Source organism: Homo sapiens, chromosome 1 (genome assembly GCF_000001405.40).
Source record: "Homo sapiens chromosome 1, GRCh38.p14 Primary Assembly".
Lineage (NCBI taxonomy): Eukaryota > Metazoa > Chordata > Mammalia > Primates > Hominidae > Homo > Homo sapiens.
In genome coordinates this window covers 214958907-214986809 of record NC_000001.11, presented here as the reverse complement: position 1 = coordinate 214986809, position 27903 = coordinate 214958907, and the positions used below count along the sequence as shown (strand labels likewise).

The 27903-nt window shown below is 39.8% G+C and overlaps 1 long non-coding RNA gene across 1 annotated transcript in view; it reads right to left on the bottom strand.

Moving 5' to 3' along the window:
- The window catches only part of LOC124904510 (uncharacterized), a 54613-nt gene that overhangs the window by 16324 nt on the left and 10386 nt on the right, over window positions 1–27903 (bottom strand). The gene's annotated exons all lie outside the window — the stretch shown is intronic.

Here is a 27903-nt window from a genome sequence, read left to right as displayed (position 1 = left end):
CAGACAATGGTCAATATTCAAATATAGAAACTTGTCCCACTTGTGGCGAACTATGTCCCATCTCCTTCCCTGAAGGTCCTGAGGCTCCTTTATGTAGGCAACCAGCGAGCTCAGGAAAAGGCACTTTCATCTCCAGGGCATCCTGCAGCTGTTTGTCACCAGCCCTCCAAAGTCCCACTACCACTGACAGTACCATGCTACTTAGAGTTTGCATTTGTCACAATTCATTTTTTTTTTAACTCAGCTCTAGTTCCAGTTAGCTAGAGTAAGAATTCTGTCTTCTTTCCTCTGTAAATTTACAGAAAAGAATTGAAAGCAGGGCCCTCTGAGCCTGTACATTTTAGTTACTTATAGTGAGGCCATGGATACACAGCTTAGTTGCATATAGTGAGGCCATGAATCCACAGCTAGAAGAAGAAAGAAACATAATTCATTTCCCAAGCACGTGTCAGTGAGACTCCTGAATGGCAGGACTGTTCCTGTTCAGTACTAAAAACAAAGCAAATGGGCTTTGTCTTGGTTTTTAATGATAGTGTATTAGTCCGTTTTCACACTGCTGATAAAGACATACCTGAGACTGGGAAGAAAGAGAGATTTAATTGGACTTACAGTTCTCCTTGGCTGGGGAGACCTCAGAATCATGGCGGGAGGTGAAAGGCACTTCTTACATGACGGTGGCAAGAGAAAATGAGGAGGATGCAAAAGTGGAAACCCCTGATATAACCATCAGACCTCGTGAGACTTATTTACTACCACAAGAACAGTATGGGGGAAACTGTCCCCATGATTCAAATTACCTCCTACCAGGTCCCTCCCACAACACATGAGAATTATGGGAGTACAATTCAAGATGAGATTTGGGTGGGGACACAGAGCCAAACCATGGCATTCTGCCCCTAGCCCCTCCAAATCTCATGTCCTTACATTTCAAAACCAATCATGCCTTCCCAATAGTTCCTTCAAAGTCTTAACTCATTTCAGGCCAGGCGCAGTAGCTCACACCTGCAATCTCAGCACTTTGGGAGGCCAAGGCGGGCAAATCACAAGGTCAGGAGATCGAGTCCATCCTGGCCAACACGGTGAAACCCCGTCTCTACTTAAAAAATACAAAAAAAAACTTAGCCGGGCATGGTGGCAGGTGCCTGTAGTCCCAGCTACTCAGGAGGCTGAGGCAGGAGAGTGGTGTGAACCCAGGAATCTGAGCTTGCAGTGAGCCGAGATCGCACCACTGCACTCCAGCCTGGGCAACAGAGCGAGACTCCATCTCAAAAAAAAAAAAAAGTCTTAACTCATTTCAGCATTAATCCAAAAGTCCACGTCCAAAGTCTCATCTGAGACAAGGCAAGTCCCTTCCACCTATGAGCCTGTAAAATCCAAAGCAAGCTATTACTTCCTACGTAAGATGAGGGTACAGGTATTGGGTAAATACAGCCATTCCAAATGGGAGAAACTGGCCAAAACAAAGGCGTTACAGGGCCCATGCAAGTCTGAAATCCAACAGGCTGTCAAATTCTAAAGCTCCAAAATGATCTTCTTTGACTCCAGATCTCACATCTAGATCATGCTGATGCAAGAGGTGAGTTCCCATGGTTTGGGGCAGCTCTGCCCCTGTGGCTTTGCAGGGTATAATCCCCGTCCTGGGTGCTTTCACAGGCTGGCATTGAGAGTCTGCGACTTTGACAGTGCAGGCTGTCAGTGGATCTACCATTCGGGGGTGTGGAGGACAGTGACCTCTTCTCACATCTCCACTGGGCAGTGCCCCATTATGGACTCTGTGTGGGGGCTCTGACCCCACATTTCCCTTGTGCACTGCCCTAGCAGAGATTCTCCATGAGGGCCCCACCCCTGCAGCAAACTTTTGCCTGGGCATCCATACATCTTCTGAAATCTAGGTGGAGGTTCTAAACCTCAGTTCTTGATTTCTGTGTACCCTCAGACTCAACACCATGTGGAAGCTGCCAAGGATTGGGGCTCCCACCCTCTGAAGCAACAGTCTGAGCTGTACCTTGGCCCCTTTTAGTCATGGCTGGAGTGTCCGGGATGTAGGGCACCAAGTTGCTAGGCTGCACACACCTGGGCCCAACCCACACAACCATTTTCTCCTAGGCCTCCAGGCCTGTGATGGGAGGGGCTGCCATGAAGATTTCTGACATTCCCTGGAGATATTTTCCCCATTGTCTTGGGGATTAACATTCAGCTCCATATTACTCATGCAAATTTCTGCAGTCGACTTGAATTTCTTCTCAGAAAAATGGATTTTTATTTTCTATCACATTGTCAGGCTGCAAATTTTCTGAACTGTTATGCTCTGCTTCCCTTTTAAAACTGAATGCCCTTAACAGCACCCAAGTCACCTCTTGAATGTTTTGCTGCTTAGAAATTTCTTCTGCCAGATACCTAAATTATCTCTCTCAATTTCAAAGTTCCACATATCTCTAGGGCAGAGGCAAAATGCCAGCAGTTTCTTTGCTAAAACATAACAAGAGTCATCTTTGCTCTAGCTCCCAACAAGTTCCTCATCTCCATCTGAGACCACCTCATCCTGGACCTTATTGTCCATATCACTATCAGCATTTTTGTCAAAGCCATTCAACAAGTCTCTAGGAAATCCCAAACTTCCCCCACATTTTCCTGTCTTCTTCTAAGCCCTCCAAACTGTTCCAACCTCTACCTGTTACCCAGTTCCGAGGTCGCTTCCACATTTTCATGTATCTTTTCAGCAATGCCCCACTCTACTGGTACCAATTTACTGTATTAGTCCGTTTTCATCCTGCTGATAAAGACATACCTGAGACTGGGAAGAAAAAGAATCTTAATTGGACTTACACTTCCACGTGGCTGGGGAGGCCTCAGAGTCATGGTAAGAGGTGAAAGGCACTTCTTACATGGTGGCAGCAAGAATAAATGAGGAGCATGCAAAAGCCGAAGCCCCTAATGAAACCCTCAGATCTCATGAGACTTATTCACTATCACAAGAACAGTATGGGGGAAACCACCCCCATGATTCAATTTTATCTCCCACCGGGTCCCTCCCACAACACATGGGAATTATGCGAGCTACAATTCAATATGAGATTTGGATTGGGAAACAGCCAAACCATAACAGAAAGTATCAGTTAGAGAGAATGGGGCCCAAGTTATCTCTTTCCAGGACTGACCATTTGAGTCATATGACTTATCTGAGCCTCAGTTTCCCATCTGGGAGATAGAGAATGAAACTCATAAGTTTGTTTTAAAGCCTTATTGGCAAGCTTTAGCTTAGCTTTTAGATTAGCTTTAGCTTTAGTTTATTAGCTTGCTAATAAGGCTTTAAAACAAACTTGTGAGTTCATTATCTCTTTTACTTATCTACTTATCTCTATTACTCTACAGATGAGAAAACTAATGTTTCAGGATGTAAGAAGAGCTTTGTACCTAAGAAATGCTTTACAATTTGAAGTTCTTACTGTTTATCTAAAATGACTAAGATCCCCACCCCTCTTCCTTTCATCTGAAACCACAGAAATCTGGAACTTCTAGCCTGATGATAATACAAAAGGATATTTAACATTGCAACTTGGGATAAAGACATTTCCACTTCGGTCAGGGAAAAATAACTTCCAGGAGAAGCAATAGCCAATGCTCCTATCTTGATGGAAGGATGATTAGAGAATTGAGTTTTCTGTCACCATATCTTTGAACCTACTGCTGATTTCCCTGTATTAAAGCAGCTGAAGGATATTTGAATAAAAGGATGATATGTCACTCCAAGATTCAGATATGGAAGAGTCTTTGTAGGCAGAAGTGATCGTGTGGAGAACAAAAAAAGAATTCTCTGAGAATTTAAGACACCATTACTAGAGTCTCAAATTTGAGTGTGCATAAGAATCCCCAGGAAGTCTTAAACACGAAGATTTCTGGGCTTTATCCCTAGAGTTTCTGATTCAGTAGGTCTGAGGGAAAGCCTGAGAATTTGCATTTTTAATAAGTTCCCTGGTGACGCTGATGCTGCTGGCCCAGGGACCACACATTGAGAACCACTATATTAAAACACTGTGTACTTCAGGAGTGATGAAAACCTAGGGAAGGAGAAAGGACAGGCCTTCCCTCAAAGTTCCCTTCATGATTTCTAGTGTGGTATAAGGAGAGCTCAGGCCAGTACAAGAAAGAAAGAACAGAAAAAGAAAGGGATGCAGAATAAGTAAAAAGAAGGACTGGATAATCAGAAGACATGCACCTATTTACATTTAGAAGATGGTGTACTTAATGTGAAGGCCAGTGTATTAATTTGCTATGGCTGCCATAACCAAGTTGCACAGATTGGGTGGATTAAACAACAGTAGTCTATTGGCTCTCAGTTCTGGAGGCTGGAAGTCTGAGATCAAGCTGTCAGCAGGGTTGGTTCCCTCTGAGGCCTCTCTCCTTTGCTTATAGATGGCGATGTCCTCCCTGTGTCTCCACATGGTCTTCTCTCTGTGTTTGTGTCTAATCCCCTCTTCTTATAAGGAAACCAATCATGTTAATTAAGGCCCACCTATCTGACCTCATTTTAACTTAATTATGTCTTCAAAGACCCTGGCTCCAAATACTGAGGTACTAGGGGTTAGGACTCCAACATATGAATTGCAGGGAGATTGGCAATTCAGCCCATAATAGACCAGTAAACTGAAGGTGGTGAGTAAACTCTTCCAACAAAATGACACCATAATTACAGTAAGCCAGGAGCCAGAAAGCAGATCCCACATGAGCAGACACCCCACACATCACACCATGGAGAGTGTCCAGGGATGAGCATTGGTATGAGGAGATATTCTGGAGGATTTTGTGAGACCATAAGAAGATAGCACAGGTTTCAGATCTGAGGAATACCATGGCTCTTTGAATCACTAAAATAGAGTTGTTACAGAACATATAAAATTAAATCTTAGTTTCACCTAATTTTAAGAGATTAAAGCCCAAATCCTTTTTAAATGGGGAGCACTGGTTGGCTGGTGGGTTTCCAAAGAGGGCTTTATTTAAAGAGAAAGAGGCTGCAAACTCTCTAGAAATTAAACCCATGAGCTTCTGCACAGGGCTAGAGCAGGAATGGTCTCCAGCAGGGTTTCTCAGCCTCAGCACTACTAACGCTTGAGCTGGACACCTCTTTCTTATGAGGAGGTGGCCTGCGCATTGTAGGTTGTTGAGCAGCATCTCTAGTCTCTACCTTCTAGATGCCAGCAGCACCAGTTCTGACAGACAAAAATGTCTCTAGACATTGCCAAACAAAACTCCAGTCTTGTTACCTCCAGTCTCACAACAGTTCTGTGAAACAAGTGTCATACACACTTCTTATTGACAGACTCAGGAATGCATTGATATTTGCTTACTTTCACACACGTAAAAGTGTCTCTCTGATTCTCAAATCTATATCTCCTTTAATAGGCTGTCTCCAGGCAGTAGAATTTAAGGACAGGCAAGTTCCTGTCACTGCAACTGACTCTAAATCCCAGAGACCCACCTTTCTAACAAATTGGGATAATGAAAATATCTCAGGTTTCAGACCCAGAGAAAAAGATCGCATCGTAGTGAAAGCAAGGCCAACTTTCATATCCAGCCGGGCTTTCGGGAGCAGCACTGGGTCTCCCTGGGGCCCGTTCTTCTTGCTGCAGCTTGACAGACAGCTGTCAGATAGAAGCTTAAAACTGGCAGGGTATGAAAAACACACCCAGTCCTCTGCGATTTATCAGGCAAAGCACGGCTTGTTAGCCTGTCAATTATTGTCACTAAGGTGCCAGACTGATTTTGGTTCTCTCCTCACACACATGAAACACTTTGTGTTAGTGGAGAAATCCTTTTGGGAATCAAAGTCTTGTGACTTTGTATTTCCATTTTTTTTTTAATGTTTCTTGGATTTCAGAGGTAATTCACTCACGGAGAGGACATAAAAGAATAAACAGACTATCTAAAGAGTACTCAAGGAAGTGGGTTGAAAGCGTGATTTGTCAGGGAAAAGGGACACTCATTTATTCATTCACATGACAATTTTTGCAGAGCACCTAATTCATGCCCAGTCTGGAGCCAGGCACAGGACACTCAACATGACATGTTTCACACCCTCGAAGTTCTCACTGGCAAGCTGCAATGAGGCACTTAATCAATTTACTATAATACAATGGTGCTTAACATCGGAAAAAAAAAGGCTAAGAAGCCATAATAGGAACATAAAGGGCAGGAAATAAAAATTCAGTGATGCCTTGGCTAATTAAATCATCTGAGCTCTTCTATCTGCTGGTAATTCAAAATAAAAGTAACCCACTGGAATTCGTAATTCCATTTGGTTCTTCCTGTTATAATCAATCCCTTAGACTCAATGGCTTCTATCTCATTTAGTTCAGAAAAGACATTCCCCAATATTGGTATACCATTGTCCTTGCAATAATTCTTTACGATTTGTCTTATTTGTGGACTATTCACCTACCGTGAATGATTCTTTTATCCTACTTTTTGTTTTTGTTCTTTTGTTTAACAGAATACATTCACTTTCTTCCTGGCTTTGGTTATTTCTATTGCAACTACCAAATGTCTTACTCCAACTGATAATTCTTGGCTTTTCTTTCTTAGATTTTCTGGGATGAATTTGCATTATTTTAGCAAAGAGACATGAAGAACTAAACAGAACCAGACATATTATTTCTGGTTCTGATCCTGCTAATATGACTTTATTGTACCTCCAACAGCAACTCGGATGAGATTTCAACAAGGACTTGTTTGAAGCCTGTGTATGAAGAATCTAAAAGAGAAATGTAGGTGTTGATCTGTTTTGTCCTTTCAGTGTAAAATGTCATCATTACTTTGAAGTTGTCGTTTATATAGCACTACAATTGATTTTGAGTTTAAAGTGATTGGAATGAAACAGATTAGAAGCCAACAGTAGAATTGAGCAAGTTCACTTGGTCAGTAAAATTTATTTTTCTACAAATAAGTAGTTAAGACAAAATTGGAGCAAATAAAGCAGAGTGTTTAGAAACTGGTGTTTTAAGAGGAGAAGGAGAAACATAGAGCCCTGTTTATTAATAGCTTTTTAAATTCAAGTGACTCAACTTGATATTCTGACATGACAGTGATATGGTCAGATCACCTTAAAATCTACAATAGTCCACCCTCCTCAGTGCCCCCAGCTTTGCTAGGCGAGGAAAGAGCACTGGGAGAAAAGGAGTCTCCTCCACCAGCCTCCAACTTGTCCAGAATGTGTCTTGTCCTGTGCACAAACAGAATCAGCCTCAGTAATTCAAGTTCTCAACACATGAGAGGTTGAAAGAAGTTAAAGAAAATAGTCCATTTCCCTCATTATTTTTTCATCTGATTTTTTTTCTCCTCTTGTGGGAAACAAAGCAGAGAGTGTTTCTTAGTCATTTTCACCCACTCAACAGCAATAGGTAAACTCTGAAAAAAGAAATACAAAATGAGTAATACTTCTTTTGCCCAACACGCATCATCTGCTCCACCAAATTGGCAATACTTATAAGGTTTTGAGCACTTACTACATGCTAGACACTATTATTTATGTTTTATTTCTATTTATAGACTTTGTACTCTTAGAATCCTTGTGAAAACTCTTGAAGTAGGTCTTGATATCCTTATTTTACAGAAGAGGAAATTGAGGCTCAGAGAATTTAATGAACTAGTCTAAGGTTATGCATCCATACAAGTGGCCAAACTAAGATTTGAATCAAGGTCAGTGTGACTCCATACGTCCTGAGCATCCTTCCCGACGTGCATGTGTGCTATATGGCGTCTCTCTTCTTGGACCTGCCATATGCATTTTTCCTGGAATGCCATTCCTGTTCATTTCCAGTCATCTAGTCTTCTCTTTCCCTCAAGTCTCAATTCTCTTCTCCTTCACAGAGTGTAGTCCAGCCTTTGCAGTAATCAACTGTTTCTCTACAGTCCTATGGCACCTCTTTCTTTGGCATTTAACAAATGCAACCTTCTGTTGTTCATCTATTCTGCAGCAGAGGTTAGAAGCCAACATAAGGTGTCTATCCACTAAATATTCAGACTTTTGGAGCTGTAATCTTTCCTGCTAAGACACATGATGTCAGAAACTGAGACTCTTTCATCAACCACCATATCCCCAAGCCCTAGCATGGTAACTGATACGCAGTAGGTACTTGATATAATTTTATTGAATAAATAGATGTGTAGAGAGTCATTGAGGTAAGATAGCAGGAGACCTATATGCCTAAAAGGCAAAGAAGCAGCTTATGAAAGTAATTTATTATTAACAAAGATTCATTCAAGCCCAGTGGGTCCATGTGGGAGAGGAGGGTAGTTTTAAGTGCCACCTGAAGTATGTTATTTTCATTGTCCCCTGGCCCAGCTGTCCAATAACTCTAGCAGAACTTACTCAAAAGTTTGGGGACTTAGAGTTTATAAAGTAAATAAATAAAAGTGCTGCTCCATTAGGATCTCTATAACACGCAGAGTACACAAAGCAATGCTTATTTTTAGCCCAGGCAATAAGCCATAACAAGTGGGCATGGAAAGCATTTTCTTCTCTTGAGCAGGAGGCAGGGATCCATGAGACATCAAAAGAGAGAATCATAGAAGCCTGATTAGGAAGCCAGATTGACCTACACATGGAAAGAAGAAGTGAGGATGACATTACAGATAAATGCTGGCAAGACATCCAGGAAAAACCAAAAGCAAAAGAGAGAACATGTTAGGCTTTCCAACTGGCCAGAAGACCTTTCCCAGCAAGGCATGATGAGACCCTCGGACTCTACTTAAATAAACAAAAAGTCTATGTTGGTTATTACAAGCGAGATCCTTTCTTGGGGATTACTAAACTAGTTGCGAGAAATTTGAGGTGGAAATATTAAGCCACTATCCATAGTAGATGAGCTAGAGTAAATATTGCTAGTTTTGGTATTTGCTTTTTACTAGTATTGTGAAATTTTTTTCCTGTGTAGCCTGGGGATACTCTCGTTATACCAAACTGTGTCCTGATTTCTGTATAGGACTGTAATCCCCTACAAGTTGAGAACTATATTCAATTTGGTGTCCCCAGATCTTGGCAAAATGTTCTTTATTAGACCCTACTAAATCAATGTTTGTTGCAAAGTTGGTAACGATAATACAAATCTTAAGAGATCATTGAAAGACATCCTAGCGTTCTTGCATGGATTTATTAATGCCAGATTTTTTTAATGTTTTGCTTCTACTTCAAAATGTTTCAGCACTAGTATATTCATTATGGCTAATAATTACCCCTTAGCCAATCAAGGGCCTCCTGAAAGCTTTTTGTTTTTCAAAAGCGTCTTCAGTACATATTCTGTTGCTTCAGAAAATGACACTTTGAGGAATTCAGGGTCAAGCAAACTTGCCAAAAACCACATAAACGCAGTACCCCTAGACATCACAAAACAAAGCAGAGGGTACAACCTTTTCCAAAAGAAAACAGATAAAACATGAAAACAATCTGGCCACGGCAGGAGTCCTTTTGTCCCCTTGTAGAATGTCAGATGCACCTAAAGCAACAAGAGCCTATTGGACCCTGAGTTGCCAGGAAACAGATTCTCTTTTCTACACTCTAAAGTCTTTTTTTTTTTTTCTACCACACTGAGAAAGCTGATACTCAGACCCAGTGCAAGAATATGACTCTTAACGACCTGCATTTCTAGAAGTTGAGGGATTGGTGCTCTAATGTAGACCATCCTAACAATGGTTGGGCATTCTTTTGAATCAGAGACATTGATAATAGTAGAAAGTAAGGACTGATTAGCCCTCATTTTAGTCTCCTGACAATAATATAAAGTCCCTTTTATCATTCTGTTAGTCATTCAACTACCCAGGTCAGCTTCTGCTGCAAATCACAGAAACGCAACTGAACCTTGCATAGCAAAAGGGAGAATTTTTTGGCCAAGAAGCCTGCGATGGATAGTGCCAGGTGTCAGCTGGATTTAAAGAAAATAGGTGGGGCTCATTACCATCAGAATGAGCATGACCGGGATGCTCTGCAGTCTCTCAAGTCTTCTCTCTGGAGTTCCAGTTTCTTTCGTTCAGACTGCCTTGTTTAGAGGGTCAGAAACAGGTCAGTTTACTGCTCCTCACTTCTTATCTCTGAGCTTCACGCATCACCAAAAGGGATTACCTCTCTTCCTTTAGTCCATTTTGGAAAGACCCTGGAATGAACTGGTTCAGCTTGGGTCTGATGTCAACCCCTATGTCCAGACAAGATGTTACTAATATTCAAACCTTCCAGCAGGAAAACAAGGTGCAAAAGGGGATTGGAGAGGCTTTCAAAAGGAAGGGGAATGCTGTTCTAGAAGCAAGGAGGGCAGTTCAGAAGACATTAATGATGGTTCACTGTACCAGCTTATACTAAAATTCTACTTTAAAATAAGAAACATTATGCATTTAAAATTAATTTAATGTAATGTCCAAGCGACTCTATCTGAACTTTAATTTTTTCCTTTTTTTCCTACCGCCTGCCATTAATACAGGCAATCAAGAAATTGCTGACCAAGTGCCTTATAAGCAAAAAATAGATCTTTAAAAACTAAATATAAGCAAGCACAAATATAAGCATTTATAAATATTAAATGTCCTCTTAACTACCTGTAGTCTCACCAATTTGTTTCTCATGCCCTAAGCATAATTCTGACCTCTGCATATGAACTGCTTTTCATGGGATATTTTTCTCCTGGCTTCAACTTGTCATTCTTCACCTGTCCCTCTTTGAAAATCCGGCTTGAAGCTTACTTTCTCTGTGAAGCTTTCTATGACCAATCTGACTTCTTTACTCCACCCCTCAGCGCTTTTGCCACTGTATTTGCTCTATTATATTAAGTTTGTTCTTATCATCAGGTAGCTTGCCCCTCTACAAATATCAGAATCCCATACCTTGAAAATGCTAAGTATAGAGTCTAGATGATTAGCATGAATAAATAAATTACACATAGCTTTCAGCTGTGGTTCAAAAGGAAAGAAGCTATTAAGGCAAAAATCTAAAGGTGCACTAAGGGGAAATAACAACTATATTATTTGTCAGTAACAAATGCCATTTATTATGCATTTGTTACATAATTTACAATGTATATTGTGTATTGAACATCCCTCAATAACAAATATATCTCCCAACTTTAGCTTATTTCAGGGAAAATTAGGTATAATGTTCTAATTCAATCAAGGGTTGCCGTGTGCCACCATGTACCAGAACTGTGTTAGGCAATGCTGAGAATACAAAGATGAGAAAGAAGAACCTGCCAATCAAGAAGCTCACAATCTAGCAGAGGTAAAAGAATATGCACGTGGAGCAGCTGAATTAAAGCATACATTGGAGAAGGAAAGTAAGTAGTAGGGGAAGATGAGCCTTTCCCAACTTTCTTGGAAGAATTTGTCCAATGTTTCCACTGTATCTTTTGCATGTTTCCATATATCTTTCCCTTCTGCCTGTTTCTCACTTATGTCCCCCCCCCTCACCTGGGCTGAAATTGTGTCCATTTATATTTGTATGTGTTTCCATAAAGCATTGAATAAATATCTATTGAATGAGTGAATGAATGAATTCATATCTACATGCTGACACAGGTTAGACACAAAAAGAAAACTGCTTGCACACTTTGCTTGGAGATTGGCATTTTACTCTGTAAATGGCAGAGAGTAATCACAGTTTCTAAAGGAGGGAGTAAATATCAGGTTTGTATTTTACAAAGAATACCTGATATAAGCAGAGGATGGACTGGGTGAAGCAGGAAAAGTCAGGTGGCTACTGTAATATTCTAAGCAAGCAATGATGAAGGTCTAAACTAAGGTAGTATTAATGTGGATGGAAAAGCCAGGACAAATATTTGGAGATAGAATTTGGTTTCTGCTTGAATGTGGAAATGACAGAAGAGTCCAGGATAAGACCATTTAAAAGAGAACAAAAGAATCTGGACAATTCCTTAAGGATCATGTAACAGGGGTTTTTCGTGTGCATACAGAGATGATTGATGGTATACGCTGCACAAGCCTACATAATCAGCATCCCTTGTCAATGCTAACTTTTTCTTACCCTTGAATTCCCAACACCTGCGCTTAGACAGACTTGGTTCAGGTATTTCATGAACTGCCACAGTACTTGTTAATTTTATAACTTACATAACTATTCCCTTTTATTTGCCTCAAATGTCAAGGTTCCTGAATAGCAGAGCAGCACATTAAGTAACTTTTGCTAAATTTATAATGTCCTAAGTATTTAGGCAGATTTTCAACATCAGCAACTTCTATAAAATATTATGAATTCTTGGTAATTCCCCCGAAAAGGATGTCTCTAACATGGTGTAATTATTTCACTTAAATTGGAAAATGACATGCAAGCACTAACTGTACTGTTCTGTCCCTACCCCTCACTGAAGTGGCCCTCCCCTACTTAGGCTGGGATCCCAGAGACCATTTTGCCCTAAGAGAGAGTCTCACAAAGAAACAACTGGACAAGCAATTTCAAAAGTTTTTAGATCCACAAATAAGACCAAAGGATTAGGAAGTAGATGTTGTCAGACTGATTCTCCACCCCTACCCCAGTCTAGATAGAGAATGCTGTGAGAGTTAACAATTCGTGAGAGGGGTTGGGGGCAAGGAGGCTGTTTCCTAATTCCTTGCGTCCTCAGGCTCAGGCCCCATGGGGAGCCAAAAATGCCTTCAGCCCTTCAATTAAATGTTTGTATCCAAACTTAGGAGGATCAGGGCATCCATTTTCAGGTGAAGTCTCTGGAAAGCAGTTGGCTCTGCCAATGGGATGTGGCCATCACAGAGTAGAAAAGGGGAGATCTGGGGGCACCTAGCCCTAGAAGCAGTAGGAAACCATGCGAAGGTTGCTGAGGTTCCCTAGACTGGGCATAGCGGTTGTCTGAAAGACAGAGAGCTAGTGAGCTGCAGGAAATTACAACAGGAGTGCTGATGCAGGGACTGCAAGGTGGCCCATACTGTAGGGGTTCAGCTGAAAATGCCGTCAAAATGTCACAGGCACCATTATGGTAGAAACAAGCCTTAGGGCCAAATGAATGGGCCCCAGCAGGCCACCAAAACAAATCCAAATCATGAAATAAACATCTCTCCTCCATTTGCATGGCCTTCTGAGTACAACATTAACTCCAGGGAAAAGAAAGGTGCAATCGAACAACTTCAAACCTGAAATGACAGACAACAAACATAAACGTGACTGAGATTCCCTGATGATGACTAAATTAAAATGTTTGCATCAGAAACGAGGGCTTGAGATAGAAATTAAGTTTTTATAGAAAAACGAATGAATTTACATATTTGCTCAGCTGAGTAAAAGTAACTAATATTTGTACATAAATTAATAACATAGAGATCAAGGGAAGGAGCTCTAGCGTAAGATAGATATATATTTGAGACAATCTCTGCCAATTACCAGCTATGTGGTCATCGACACATAAGTTATGTTCTCAAAGCCTCAGTTTCCTCATCTGATGTCCTGATCTGACTCACATTTTAGATGTTTATTGGTTTACCAAACTTAATTCCTTGCCCATGTATCCAACTGTGCTTGGCAAACAGATCCCATCTTATGCTTCTGATCCCTTTTCCTGTTATTTTCCAATTTCCAGTTCTAATTTCCAATTGCTCCTTTTCTAGGCCTTCCTAAGCCAGAGCCATGCTTTCACAGCAATTAACCCAGGCAAGCCAGTTCAGCCAAGTCCTATACCTAAAAATGCATTCCTTGACATCACTGCTGAGTATCCTTCTGAGAGAGGATGGAGTTTCAATTTAGCTGTTTCTGCTCTGATTCTGAGAATAGAATCCAGAAAGAATTTAGGAGGAGAAAATAAAGATATTTAAGTAGTGATTGAATTAGATGGTGCTTGTAAAGCATTTGGTGTTAACAACTTTAGATGTCAAATCTGTTAATAGAAACTTTGTATGTACAGAGAGCTCCCCGAAAATAAAATAATGACAGAAAATATTCATACCAGCAAGGAACATTAGCACTATCAGAAAGTTCAAGCTGAAGCACAGAGAACAAATCACACGTGCAGAAGCCAACTGTGCTTCAGAGTCCTCATCACCTTTGGATTGTTAATATTAGTATTGTCAGTCAGCCTTTACACCAACTTTCCCAGGATCATGAAAGTGAAGATCGTGTCATTTTATCCAAGCCTACACTCCACTGATTTCCCCATATCCACTCAAAACATTACCAAGATAACTAAAGTCCTCTGGATTCTCTTTCCCAAATTCCATTTTCTTCCCCCAGGAAGAAATCAGCATCCTGAATTTGCTATTTTTCATCGACATGAATTTCTTTATTGTTTGATGCCACAAGCATATTTTCTTTTTGTTCTTTTTTTTTTTTTTTTTTTTTTTTTTTTTTTGCAGAGACAAAGTCTTGCTCTGTCACCCAGGCTGGAGTGCAGTGGTGCGATCTCGGCTTGATGCAACCTCCGCCTCCAGGATTCAAGTGATTAGCTCCTGCCTTGGCCTCCCGAGAAGCTGGGAAACAGGTGCCCGCAACCACACCCAGCTAATTTTTGTATTTTTAGTAGAGATGGGGTTTCACCATGTTAGCCAGGCTGGTCTCGAACGTCTAATTTCAGATGATCTGCCCACCTCAGCCTCCCGAAGTGCTGGGATTACAGGCATCAGCCACCACGCCTGGCCGCATATATACTTAAACAATATATATATATATAACTATGTTTTACAAGTTTTTAAACTATGTATATTTCATTTATTTGCTTATATCCTCACTTCTTTCACAAAGGATTTTAGGTAACTTATAAGAAGACCAGGAAATACAAAGTCATAGTAAAATATAAATTAGAAACTTAAAAATCAGTAACAGAAGGAATACAAATAAAGCTAGAAAATTAAGAGTCAGGAAAAGAAGAAAAATGAACAGATCAATTATACATAATGAAATATTATAAAACTAAATTCCTATTAGAATATTTTAATTGAGGCATGTCAGGTTATTCAGATTTTAGTTTAAACCATGGAGGATTTACTGTAACATAGAAATGTAAAATAGCCCATGCTTTCTCGTAGACTGATGAGAATCTCTTCTCTCCCGGATCAACCTCCCCAGTGGCCCATGACTGACACTCACCTATAGAAGATGTGTGGCCAAAGTGAGGAGGACATAGAGTGCAGGGCTCATAACAACAATTACCAAGACTTACTGAACTATGAATCAGGTGCTGCACTGAGCTCACTACATACAATCTTGAATATAATCCTCACAACAACCCTAGAGCTGCCCCGCTTTACAGAAGAAGAAACTGAGGCTTGGAAAGTTTAGGCACTTGCCTGAAATGAAACAGTTATGTGCACCCTGAATTTCAAGGTGTGTTGGGTTTGTGGGGTTGACTGACATCCAAGTACATCTGTTAAGTCACTGTGCCACCCTGCCTGGAATCTCTGAATTCCCTCCTGCCCTATCTCAGGTCATTTGCAGCCTCTGTCTTGGCAGTCACATCCTAGTATGATCATGCCAATATATTTCATTAATATTTCTGAATTCTAGACTTTCCCGACTTCTGAATGAAACCAGATGGCTCATAAAAGGTGACAAAGTGCATTCAGGCCTGAACCACTAGTGGCAAAGCTCTAGCAGTCGTTTTTCTCAGTCTCCCCCAGATCCCCAAGATAAACTTTCCAGAGAGAAACTAGAATCCCTTCTGTGGCTTTACACCCAATTATACTAGGTTTAGGACACAAAATCCAATCACTTGCCCCTGCAAACAAAATGTATCCTTTAAAAACCCTTCAGAGCTTTTACTTCTTTTGCTTTTTTATTTAAGCTTAAAAATATTAAGAGCCTATCCATTTTACTAGAAAATATTTAACATTGAAAGCGCCTCAGGAGGCACATCTGAAAAATCCAGAAATAAATGTTTTATATTTTATATTCAGCCTATTTTCCTGTAGCTAATTGATTCCATTATTCATGTTTCCACACCCAAAATCTTACTGATTTTTTCTTAGTGCTTATGCACTTCAAGAATGCATAGTTATTAATCAAAGGATCTATGTTCTCCACTTAGCCAAGCTATCCATGTTAAAAATCTTTTCATCTTCCCTCATAAATCAGTTTTTCCACCTCCTTCATCATTTTCATCACTCATGTCTAAGTTCTTTTCAGTTTATTTGAGTTGCTTAAACTCAGATAATGGGAGGTGTTTAGGTCATGAGCACTCTGCCTTCATGACCTAAACACCTCCCTTTAGGCCCCACCTCCCAACACTGTCACACTAGGAATTAAGCTGCCAATTTATAAATTTTGGGGGACACATTCAAATCATAGCAGGTATTTTCCACTGATACTTCATATACAAGTCTATTTGCTACTAAATGTGCTAAATTTTGAGGCAGAACTTTGGTCTCATTGATAAAACTTCCCATTGTTAAAAATTTCACAAAAAGGACACCTCACTTCCAAAGTAACATCATTATGATGCTCTGATTAAAGTTACAGTGACATGGACATTTTTTGCTTTCTGTTGATCAACCGACATTTAATTTGCTAGCTTTCAAGATGGCAGCTTTTCAGGTTTGATTTCATCAGTAAGAGTCTCCTTCTGGTTACTCATTGTCTGCCTGAATTAGGATAATGAAACCCTAGTAATAAGATTCTAGCTGGATAGTTAAGAGCCAAAAACAGCTAGAGATCTGAAAGATCTGATGAAACTTATTCACTGTAGTCTACTTGAATACAAGAGCAGTAACCCTAGAACATCCAGATCCAGGCCTTCTCAGCACAAATGTATAAACAAGTCACAAGATTGTTTTCAGACTGCATTAATTCAGGCATCCTTGTACAGTCATGTTCTCATCTCCAGTTATTTTCAAGATACCTAGGCCCAAATGACTTTCATAGGTTTCAAGGGTTGGTGGCAAAGGTATTTTTACGTGAAAGGCTAGTAGAATATCCTTGGCAAAATTTGGCTAGCAGTGCCAAAATGTATATAATTGTTAGTGAATTCTCCACTATTTAGACATTGATTGTTCAGTGGATGTACCATCCTGATTATTTTCTCCTTCTTGTTCTTCTTTCCTTGGCCTGATGTATAGACATTATTATCTGAACCAAAGGGTGGGGGTGAGAAATAAAAGGTGTTGAAACAGGAAATCACTCTTTCTCGAGTTTCTAATCTATTTCTGACTCCTATGCTAATAGATAGTATCCCTTATTACCAGTCCTGGTTCTCTAATACTGAAGCCAGCTTTCTTTGTTTCTGCATCTAACACAAGGCACTCTGCAAAGTACAAAGAAAACTCTGTAAGTGACAACCAAACAAACTATAGTTTGATGTCAGTTGTATATTTTATCTGCTAAAGTTAGTATTACGGTGCTTGGCTATGTACAATTAAGAATGAACTGTAAAGTGGCAGGATAGAGAATTAAGTATCATCTTCCAGAATCAACCTAAGAAAAGAACCACAGTGGCTTAGTAATGAATGTTGTCTTCATTCATTTTGTGCTGCTATAAAATACCTGAGACTGAGTAATTTATAATGAACAGAAATTTACTGGCTCACAGTTCTAGAGACTGGGAAGTCTGAGAACAAGATGCTGTCATCTTATAAAGGCCTTCTTGCTCCTTCATGACCTGATGGAAGGCAGAAAGGTAAGAGTGAAAAAGGGCAAACCCACTCCCATGAGCCCTTTATATAACAGTATTAACATATTTATGAGTGCTCTGCCTTCATGACCTAAACACCTCCCATTAGGCCCCACCTCCCAACACCGTCACACTGGGAATTAAGCTGCCAATGCATAAATTTTGGGGGACACATTCAAATCATAGCTCATGTTTTCTACTGATACTTCATATACAAGTCTAATTGCTGCTAAATATGCTAAATTTTGAGGCAGAACTTTGGTCTCTTATTGATAAATTTGCCAATCCATTGAAAATCATTATAGATACACCCTGATGAAATCCTGCCATCTCAGAAAATATTAGACTTAGTATTTTAATTTTTGAATAAATTGACTCTCCACTGAATTGGAAATAGTATAGCAATGCATCAGTGATCATGCCATGCAGACATAGTTTTGCCTTGTCGTCTATTATATTACTGTTTCTTATACTTTAACACTAAATTACTAAAAATTATAACCAAATTACTAACACTTATATTTAAATCAGAAAGATATTTAAATGAAGCTAAAATTTCTAATGGGATCTTGAGTGTAATTAGCTGTTACTTGCTGACTAGAAGCTTCTGGATTTTTTTTATTGTGGCCTTGAAATTAGTTATATGAGAGTCAGTATCCAACTCTGGCAACCAATCTTCATCTCTAAGTGAAGCAGTGGTTACTAGTGCTAATTGGACATTTATTTAAGGAAACCTTGGTTAACTGGAAGTTCAAGAATTTGGAATCCTCTGACCGTCAGAATCATCTAGGCCAATCAAATATGAGAGTGAATAATGAATGTGGTGTTTATTTGGTAATTAGGAATCTAAGTGTGTTCAGAGTCAATACTCAAAACATTCACTGGTGACCCCAGTGCAATACTATGCATATAACTGAGGTCATTCTGAACACAAGCTCTCAGTGCGCGCCTTAAAATCCCCTTTTTATTTCAGCTGATATGACAATCATTTCCTGATCACTTTCATTGGTCTTGTTCTACAAAAGCATGGGGCTGAAAAAAATCTAGTTAATTAACAGGTCTTATTGGTTTTTTACTGGACAACACTGCTGAATTTTTCAGTATGTAATTCAGCACCGTCTCCCCTAGCATGACACATACAGAAAACAGATGGTGGAGTCATTCCTAAGGGGGACAAATTGTAATCATTCCAAACATGAAGAGAACGGAACTCACATTTCTTGAGTGCCTAAGATATGTCAAGTGATTTCAAACCTTTATTTTATGTAATCTTCAAAGCAATCCTGTGTGATAGAAGACATTATCCTCATTTTTGAGATGCTAAAACTGAGGCTTGGGGAAACTGATTAAGACCCAAGTTCACAAAGCTTGTAAGAAGCAGAGTTGGGAATCAAATCTGGGACTGCATAATTCCAAAGCTATTCATTACTTCAAGTGGTCTCTTTGGGGGAACCTGAATATAACTTGAAGGAGAAGATGGGTAACTTTACCTGCAGATAAATGAGAATCAGTATCAGCTTGTAAAAATGCTTCAAATGCCCAGTTAAATGTTGTATCCTATATGAAAGCAGATCTCCTAATGAAAGCAAGGAAATCTGGTTGAAGGGGAGAAATACAAGCTGTCCAGGAGGGGAAGAGAAGGTGGACAGCTCAATGGTGTAGCCATAAGAAAGGAGCATCTCTGCCCCTGAATGAGCTCTTCAAGTAGCTGCCTTGCCCCTGACTGAACATTGAGACAGTTAGAAGTCTCAGGTAGGGATCTGAATACCTGAAGCCTTTCTGAGGTGCCTAACTCAGAGGGACTCCAGAAGAACTCCAAGGAAGCCCCCTCCTTCACAGGCAAGAGAAGCCACTTGAGCCAGGCACATCTACTGCTGTGGTTTGAATGTGTTCCCTAAAGTTCAAGTGTTGGAAACTTAGTCCCCATGCAACAATGTTGACAGGTGGAAACTTTAAGAAGTGATTAGGCCATGAGAGCTCTGTCCTCGTGAATGGATTAATGTTGTTATCCTAAGAGCAGGTTTGTTATAAAAGTGAGCTTGCCAGTGGCGAAGCGTAAACAAAAACTGAGATTTAAAAAAAAGTGAGTTTGCCTTCCTCTTGCTACCCCTCTCTCACTCTCTCAACCTCTTGCCTTCCACCATGAGATGACACTGCAAGAAGGCCCTCACCAGATGCCAGCACTTGATATGAGACTTCCCAGCCTCCAGAACGGTGGCAAATACATTTCTTTTCTTTGTAAATTACTCAGTCTGCGGTATTCTGTAATAGCAGCTCCAAAGAGACCAAGACATCCATGCTACTTGAGTTGAATCTCCATGAACAACAAATATTCCCACTCACAGAACTAATGACATACCTGAAGGTTTGTGCCTGATGCTGGGGAGCAAGACTTCCCTTGCTGTTCTTCAACAACTTTTGTTTTATTAGAATTCCAGGCAGAAGATGAAGAATCTCATCCCCCAATAGAACAGTTCTCACAAGAGATTGTCAAGGAAACTGAAATAGCCTGAGCAAGATTGTCCTAAGAAAAAGTAATAACTTAAGAGTGCAATGAAGCACTTCTGGGACAAAGCTGTCTCAGAATGCTGGGAGACAGCACTAACAATAGCAGCCTGGCAGGAGGAGCTAGGAGCTGGCCCTGGTCAAGCAAAGGCTTCAAGCCAGCATTACACAATGAGAAGCCCTAGGAATAACTCTGGCCACACAACAAAGCACAAGCAAATCCCCTTCTCCAAGACAGTTCACGTAACACGCACGTCTATCAACCACTCAAACTCAAAGGGATTTCTCAAGATAACACCAGCTCTTCAATGTTCTCAGCTCTTTAATGCTTTCAACTTGTAACTGCTACTCCTTCTTGATATCAGTATATGTGGGTTTAGATTCAGTAATTGCAAGCTGTAGGACAGTAGCAAATTGTTCCTGTGCTTTGAGAGAGAAGATAGAAAGGGAGTGCTGATCCATACTGCATGTGTAGTGTTGCTGCTCAGAAGCAGAAAACAAAGACACAAATATAGGATTGCTCCCCCTTTTAGGTTACCCCTCACTTCCCATGCCACCTTCCCTCCAACCCCTAAGAAACAAATTTAGGCCTGTGTAGTCCCAATTCTTTATAATTTGACACTTGTCTTCCTGTAGCCCCAGTCCTGCTGTTCCCATGTCAGGAATAGCTGTGGGATTCTGCTCCCTTACAATAAAGACTTAGAACAATAGGTTTGGGTTCATTGTTAAGATTATGAGAAAACACAAATAGCAAAAAAAACATTTTTTTGAAAATCTGTGTTAATTGCAAAACAGAAGAACCTTACATTTCTTTCTTGTACTATGTAAAATATTTGGTCTATTGCTTACCTTCAGTGATTTCAGAATAGTTTCAGAATCAAAATCAACTCACCCTCTCAAGAGAATGAGAGGATAAGCCACAAACAGGGAGAGAATACTTGCAAAACACATATCTGGGAAAGGACTATTATTCAAAATGTACACAGAACTTATAAGACTCGACAATAAGAAAATGAAAGATCCAAATAAAAAATGGACCAAAGTTCTGAACATATATGTCATCAAAATAGATATACAGATGGCAAATAAGAAAAGATGTTTAACATCCAAGTGTCATTAGGGAATTGCAAATTAAAACAACAAATGAGATACCACTACACACCTATTTGAATGACTAAAATCGAAAATGCTGACAATATCGAACACTGGCAAAGATGTGGAAAAACAGGAACTCTCATTCATTGCTAGTGGGAATGCAAAATGGTACAGCCACTGTGGAAAACTGTCAGTTTCCCATAAAAGTAGACAAGCTTTTAATATACGATCTAGCAGTCTCACTCCTTGGTACTTACTCAAGTGAGTTGAAAACTTAGGTCCACACAAAACCTACACATGGATATTTATAGCAGCTTTATTTCTAGTTGCCAAAACTTGGAAGCAACCAGCATGTTCTTCAGTGGGTGAACTGATAAATAAAATGTGGTACATCCGGACAATGGAATAGTATTCAGTGCTAAAAGTGAGCTATCAAGACATGAATACACATGGGGGGATCTTAAATGCATATCACTAGAGGAAAGAAGCTAATCTGAAAAGGCAACATGTTATATGATTCCAACTATATGACATTCTGGAAAAGGCAAAACAATGGAGACAGTAAAACGGCCAGTGACCAGCAGGAATTAGTCAGGAAGGAGGGATGAATAGGCAGAGCACAGAGGACTTTTAGGGCAGTGAAACTACACTGTGTGACACTAAAATGGTAGATATGTGTCATAATACATTTGTCCAAACCTATAGAATTTACAACACCAAGAGTGAAGCCTAATGTGAACTGTGGAATTGGGTGATGATGTGTCAATGTAACTTCATCAATTATAACAAATATGCCACTCTGGCACTGGAAGTTGACAGTGGGAGGGGTTGTGCATGTGTGGGGAAGGAAGTAAACAGAAATGTTATGTGCTTTCTCCTCCATTTTACTGTGAACTTAAATCTCCCCTAAAAATTAAAGTCTATTAAAAAAAAAAATCAATTTAGGCCGGGCACAGTGGCTCACGCCTATAATCCCAGCACTTTGGGAGGTCAAGGAGGATCACCTGAGGTCGGGAGTTTGAGACCAGCCTGACCAACATGCAGAAACCCTGTCTCTACTGAAAATACAAAATTAGCCAGGCGTGGTGGTACATGCCTGTAATCCCAGCTACTCGGGAGGCTGAGTCAGGAGAATCATTTGAACCTGGGAGGCGGAGGTTGCGGTGAGCCAAGATCATGCCATTGCACTCCAGCCTGGGCAACAAGAGCAAAACTCCTTCTCAAAAAAAAAAAAAAATTGTTACCCACCCTCACAGATGAGGACACTGAGGCAAGGAGGGTGTAAGCATCCTGCTATCTGTCATAGAGCTGGGCAGTAGGTGAGTTAGGGGAGAAGAAATCAGAGCCTCGTGTGTCTAAGTCCAGGGTTCTAAAAGACACCTTGTCTCTCATTTTTACACCCCAATTTCTCTAAAGCTGAATTGTGTAGATTTTTTATAGTTTATTATTTTTTGTAGTGTTAGAGAATTTAGAAAGTCTTTAAAAGCAAAATTAAAGGCTAACTCTGCACATAAAGTTTTATACTAATGATCAGGGAACCTAAACACTTCCACCCCAAAATGCATAGTTTGGTGCAAATGTTGGGCAATTTGAGAACTTTTGTAAGTGCTTCCATTTCAATGGAGTTACTGATGTGTCCTCCATACTGGCTGCCCCTTCCTGTTTAGACAGCAGCGTTTCATACTTACTGAACACCCTTTCTCGACACTTCCCTGGCAAATGAACAGTACATTTCATTCTCATCATTAAGTTAGACCAAACGTTAGAAGAAACAAAGTCAAAAGAAAGAATGTATGTGTATGCCTGAATCATAGAAGACTGTCCCATTCTCATCTTTCTGAACCAAATAATTGTATGCAATGCTTATAATATTAGCCATTTAAGGCCCCAGGCTCAGGGCTTGCTGGAAGCTTCCTAACCCAGCCTTAACCTAATCCTACAAGCCTGACTCTCACTTGCCAAACCCATTGGACCTACATAAACTGGAATGATGCATCTGCTGAGTCTGTATCACTCGAGGTTTTCAACAGAAGCTGACTTGGACTGAGTAGGCAGAAAACGAAATTAAAGGTATCAAAAGAAGCTCTCAGAATCAGCAGGAGTGTAGAGAACCAAGCTGAATGTGTTTCCAGAAATGATCACCAAAACTGTGCTGCAGGACTGATGTGATGAGGAAGGGGTTGCTGCCACCATCAAGCATTGGACATTACCCTGTCACTTCTGTGCCGAGACCTACGCCTCATAATCATGGCTACTGACCACTTCAACAGAAAGAGGGACAGAGAGGAAGCACGTTGTGTCACTAGCAACTATATTGTGTCACTAATTACAAAGTCAAAAACTGGAGTGGGTGAACCTGCCTAGCAGATCCTCTGTTACATCCCTGTGCTTTAGTATAAAGGTGATCTCCAGCTTTCTAGGGGAAGGAGGTCTCCACCACCCCCAAAACACAAGGTAAAGAATTTTCCCAATTTTAAACCAAAGGATGTTGTGTTTCCCAAACAAATGACAAGTGCTCATTTCCTGGCACAATAAAACAAGTATAATATCCCCCTATTTTTGAGTTGAAAAAAAACAAGAGGTACAACTTATCTGAATTCATAATGACCAAGGCAAAATTGAAATCGTAGTGTTTCCAGTCCAAAGCCCATTCACTTTCAACAAAGCTATGATGCCACACATTAAAATAAAAAGTTTGAGCTAAATATTTTAAACAATGGGGTAATAAATAAATAATTTAAAAATGTCGGATACATAAGAAAATTTTAAAAAGCTATTGATCACATTTACTTGATAAAGATTTGATAATCTCAAATCAAACAATTGCTGCTGTCCAAATAAGCTACCTACTTTTCCACTTTCAGTTAAGTATGAATGAAACACAGAATCAAAATGATATAATTTTAGATTTTTTTATTCATTTATCTCTTTTCTTACAGGACATTAGGAAATGAGCTGCAAAAGCAGTTTACCATCTTAAGACTGCTTTGATATGGAGTTTTAGATATGTATTGATAAAAGTACATATTCACTACGCTGCTACTCTGTGCAAGGCATTGTTTTAGCCACTGGGAAAGAAATGATGACTCTCCTGTGGAGAAGCTTCAAATCTAGTAGACGATTCAGAGAAGTAAAGGCATCATTGCAATTGTGCAGGAAGTGTAATGCTAGGAGGCTTCGCAAAGGAGGCTCCAAGCCATTAGGGAGGCCACAATCATATTCCTCATTCAACAAGTTTCTATGGTACAGCTTAGATAGGCTTTGCAGAGTTACATGTTTATGACACAAAATAAATATGGTCTCTATTGGTATGTAATTTAGAACCTAGTGAGGAAGATAGAAATTAAACAAATAATTGCACTAACATTTTCCTAAATATAATTGTAGTAAGCGCTATAGAAATAAACAGTTTTGTAAAAGTTTATTACAAGGTAAACCTACTGTAATATAGACAGTGTAGTGGAGAGTGTTGGAAGACTGTTGTGTGTGGGTCTTTTACATTTATGCACATCTTGTCTCACTTTTTGTTCAAAACTTTCTTTTTAAGGATGTTTGTATAATAAATAGCCTTGGACAATAACGATAATGCCTCTTTCTGAAGCAGAGGGAAGATTTATTTCCTGACTAGTACAGTAAAGACAATGTCTCCTTCCAGGGAAAAGACTGGACAGATTTGCTGGCATTCCCCTCCAGAATATCAGGGTTTCTTAAGCTCAAGTTTCCTCAGCTTTGGTACAAACCCACTTGTGTGCAGCATTGACCTGGGCTGCTCTGCATCACCCTAATGAGACTTCAGGGACAAGGGAAACTGACGAGAACATGCAGCTCAGCTGCCTGCTATACAGTGAGTAATAAAGTTATATCTGACCCAGGAGGCTCATGTCTTCTGCCAGCATCTATGAACTGGTAGAGTAACTTGTTAGCTTACACATAAGGTAATAGTTCAAATCATTCAAGGCACCGAGGAGCTGGTGGGAAGTCAGAAATTTTCCTAAGGAACTTAGGTTGAAGCTGGGACCTGAAGAATAAGGAGCCGAGGGTGGAGGTTGATTACTTCTGGACAGAGGAAACCCTGTGGCAGACCTCTGAAGGAATGGAGCATGGCACAACTCAAGAGCTAAGAAAGGACTGGAGTGCCCAGAGCACAGCAAGTGCTGCTAGAAGGATCTCTAAAGGAGGCTGCAGAGGTAAGGAGAAGCTTGATTATACAAATATGTAAGGAATTGAGAATATATTCTGAGACAATCCTCCATGAATTGTCTTCGAGTTGCAAGTACACATCTTGCAAGCTGCCTAACTGCCCTTTGTTCTGGACTATCATTTCAAGGATGTTTGTAATTAAACAACTTTGGAAGATAGAGATAGTGTCTCCCTCTGGAGCAAAAAGCAAGCATGCTTACTGCCCACTATAAAAGATTTGGGTAATCTTGGGCTCAGGGTTCCCCTTCTACAGTGCAATCCATTACATGTGCAGTTGTTATCTGGCCCTCTTGGCAGCACTCTGTAGGAACTGAGGCTCAGGGAAATAGCATGAGAAATGCTGATGCTTTGGCTACTGCTACTGTTCTAAGGAATCTGTGTCTTCTACCAGCCTCCAGGAAGCTGTGATAGACTAACTTGATAGCTTACAAGTAGGATGAAATCTCGGGCCCTTCACAGTTCTTGACAGTACTTTATTCAAAGAACACAAGATGTTAGACAGTGGGCTTTTATAGTTTCATATTTTGACTTTTTTTGGTATAGTAACCTACAAATCCCTAGAAAGTAGTGTCATAAATTGAGGAAATCAAACCATCCACTCCCAGAGTGGTATTTGGCACAAAATGAAACATAAATGTTAAAAATAATCATTGTTTTCAAGGAGCCTAGAATATTCTTGGCACAACCATAGACTGGTAGAATGGAAACCACATGGAGTTAGTGTATTCATTCCTGGTTCTGCCCCCATGCCAGCTGTCTCAGATTGTACAAACTACCTGATCTCATTTGCTCTTAAACCCATCATTCACTAAACAAGGATAATAGAACGTTTGTCACATAATTCACATAAAGGTGGAAAGAGATGATAACACTTTGATACAAATAATATATTTATCTACCAAACACCCTTTAAATCAGCCAACAGTGTCTCTCTTTGAGAAACTTAGCTGTTGATGGGCACTGATAAAAATATTCAAGATAAATTTGCTCTTGATCTAAAACTTTTTATTGTGAGGTCACTGGCAAACCATCCATCTATTTGTGACAACTTTGGTTTTCTCTTTCTAAAAGCTTTGACAAACTCAGGAAAAATGGTAAGACCAGATGCACTAGATGTATAAAAATATGGCCCACTTCCCAATTTCAGGTACTCGATACTTGAAAAACTATTTCAGTAAAGCCACAGGGACTGTCTACATCTCCAGAGGCACAACTACAGAAATGTTGAAAATGAAGCCATCTGCCAATTCCCCAAAACATGTTGAATGCCAGTTTCTTAAAATGCAAGGAGCAGGTAAGTTTTTTGTTTCTGTTTTTAAAAGCAGTGAAGCATCCTCATTCTCAAATTGATGAAACCTAAGTACTCACCAAAGCCAGGTCTAAGCTGCCTCTTTGTAGATTTCAATCTTCTACAAATTCTGAGCAAAGAAATTTGCTTTCCATTCTACTATGACATTTTCGGACATTTGCTTAAGATTATAATAAATTGTAAAGACCTGATAATTAAAGCCTCAATCTGGAGATAACATAACACTTTGGAGTGATTGTTTCTTTGCTGTTTTGTGAATGAGAATGATAAATCCAAGAGAAGATAAAGGACTTTGTTAAGGGAAGCAAGTCTGGCCTGACACCAGTGTTGGAGCCAGTACAAAACAGGCATTGAAATTGACTTATGGGACTTTCAAAACTCACCCAAAAGTCATTTCAACTATGGTACCTGATCCCTCTCCCTTCTGCCTCCACTTTATCCTATACATATTTTTGTCACAGCCTCCATATCACTTTATGCCACTTAGTGATTCATCTGTTGGTTTTCCTCCTTAAAACTAGAGATTGAATTGTATTTTACTATTTACCCTCAGCAATTAGCATAGTCGCTTAACAAACGTTTTTGTTTTTAGATTGAATTACTTAATGACTAAAATATAATAACTAGACTGATACATCACAGTCCAAAATAGAAGTAAAGAAATTATTATAAGAAAGCCATGGGATAGTGTTCAGACAGGAAACTAAAGTATTAAGGTAATATTGCAGCAAGTTGGGGTTGCATTTTAAAACTGTAATTAAAATTCCTTTCTCTTTCTTCCAAAAAAGAGAGTGTGGCCCCCAATGCTACTTAGGCGAGTGAAGAACAAAAAGCTAAAGCTTTTAGGAATGAATTAACAGCATTTGCAGTGACCTAGGTGAGACTGGAGACTATTATTCTAAGTGATGTAACTCAGGAATGGAAAATCAAATATCGTATGTCCTCACCAATATGTGGGAGCTAAGCTATGAGGACGCAAAGACATAAGAATGATACAATGGACTTTGGAGACTTGGAGGGAAGGGCAGGAGGGGGTCAAGGGATAAAAGACTACAAATGTGGGGCAGTTTATACTGCTCAGGTGACGAGTGCACCAAAATCCCACAAATCACCACTGAAGAACTTACTCATGTAACCAAATACCACGTGTACCCCAATACCCCTATAACTGATGGAAAAATAAAAAATAATAATAAAATAATAAAC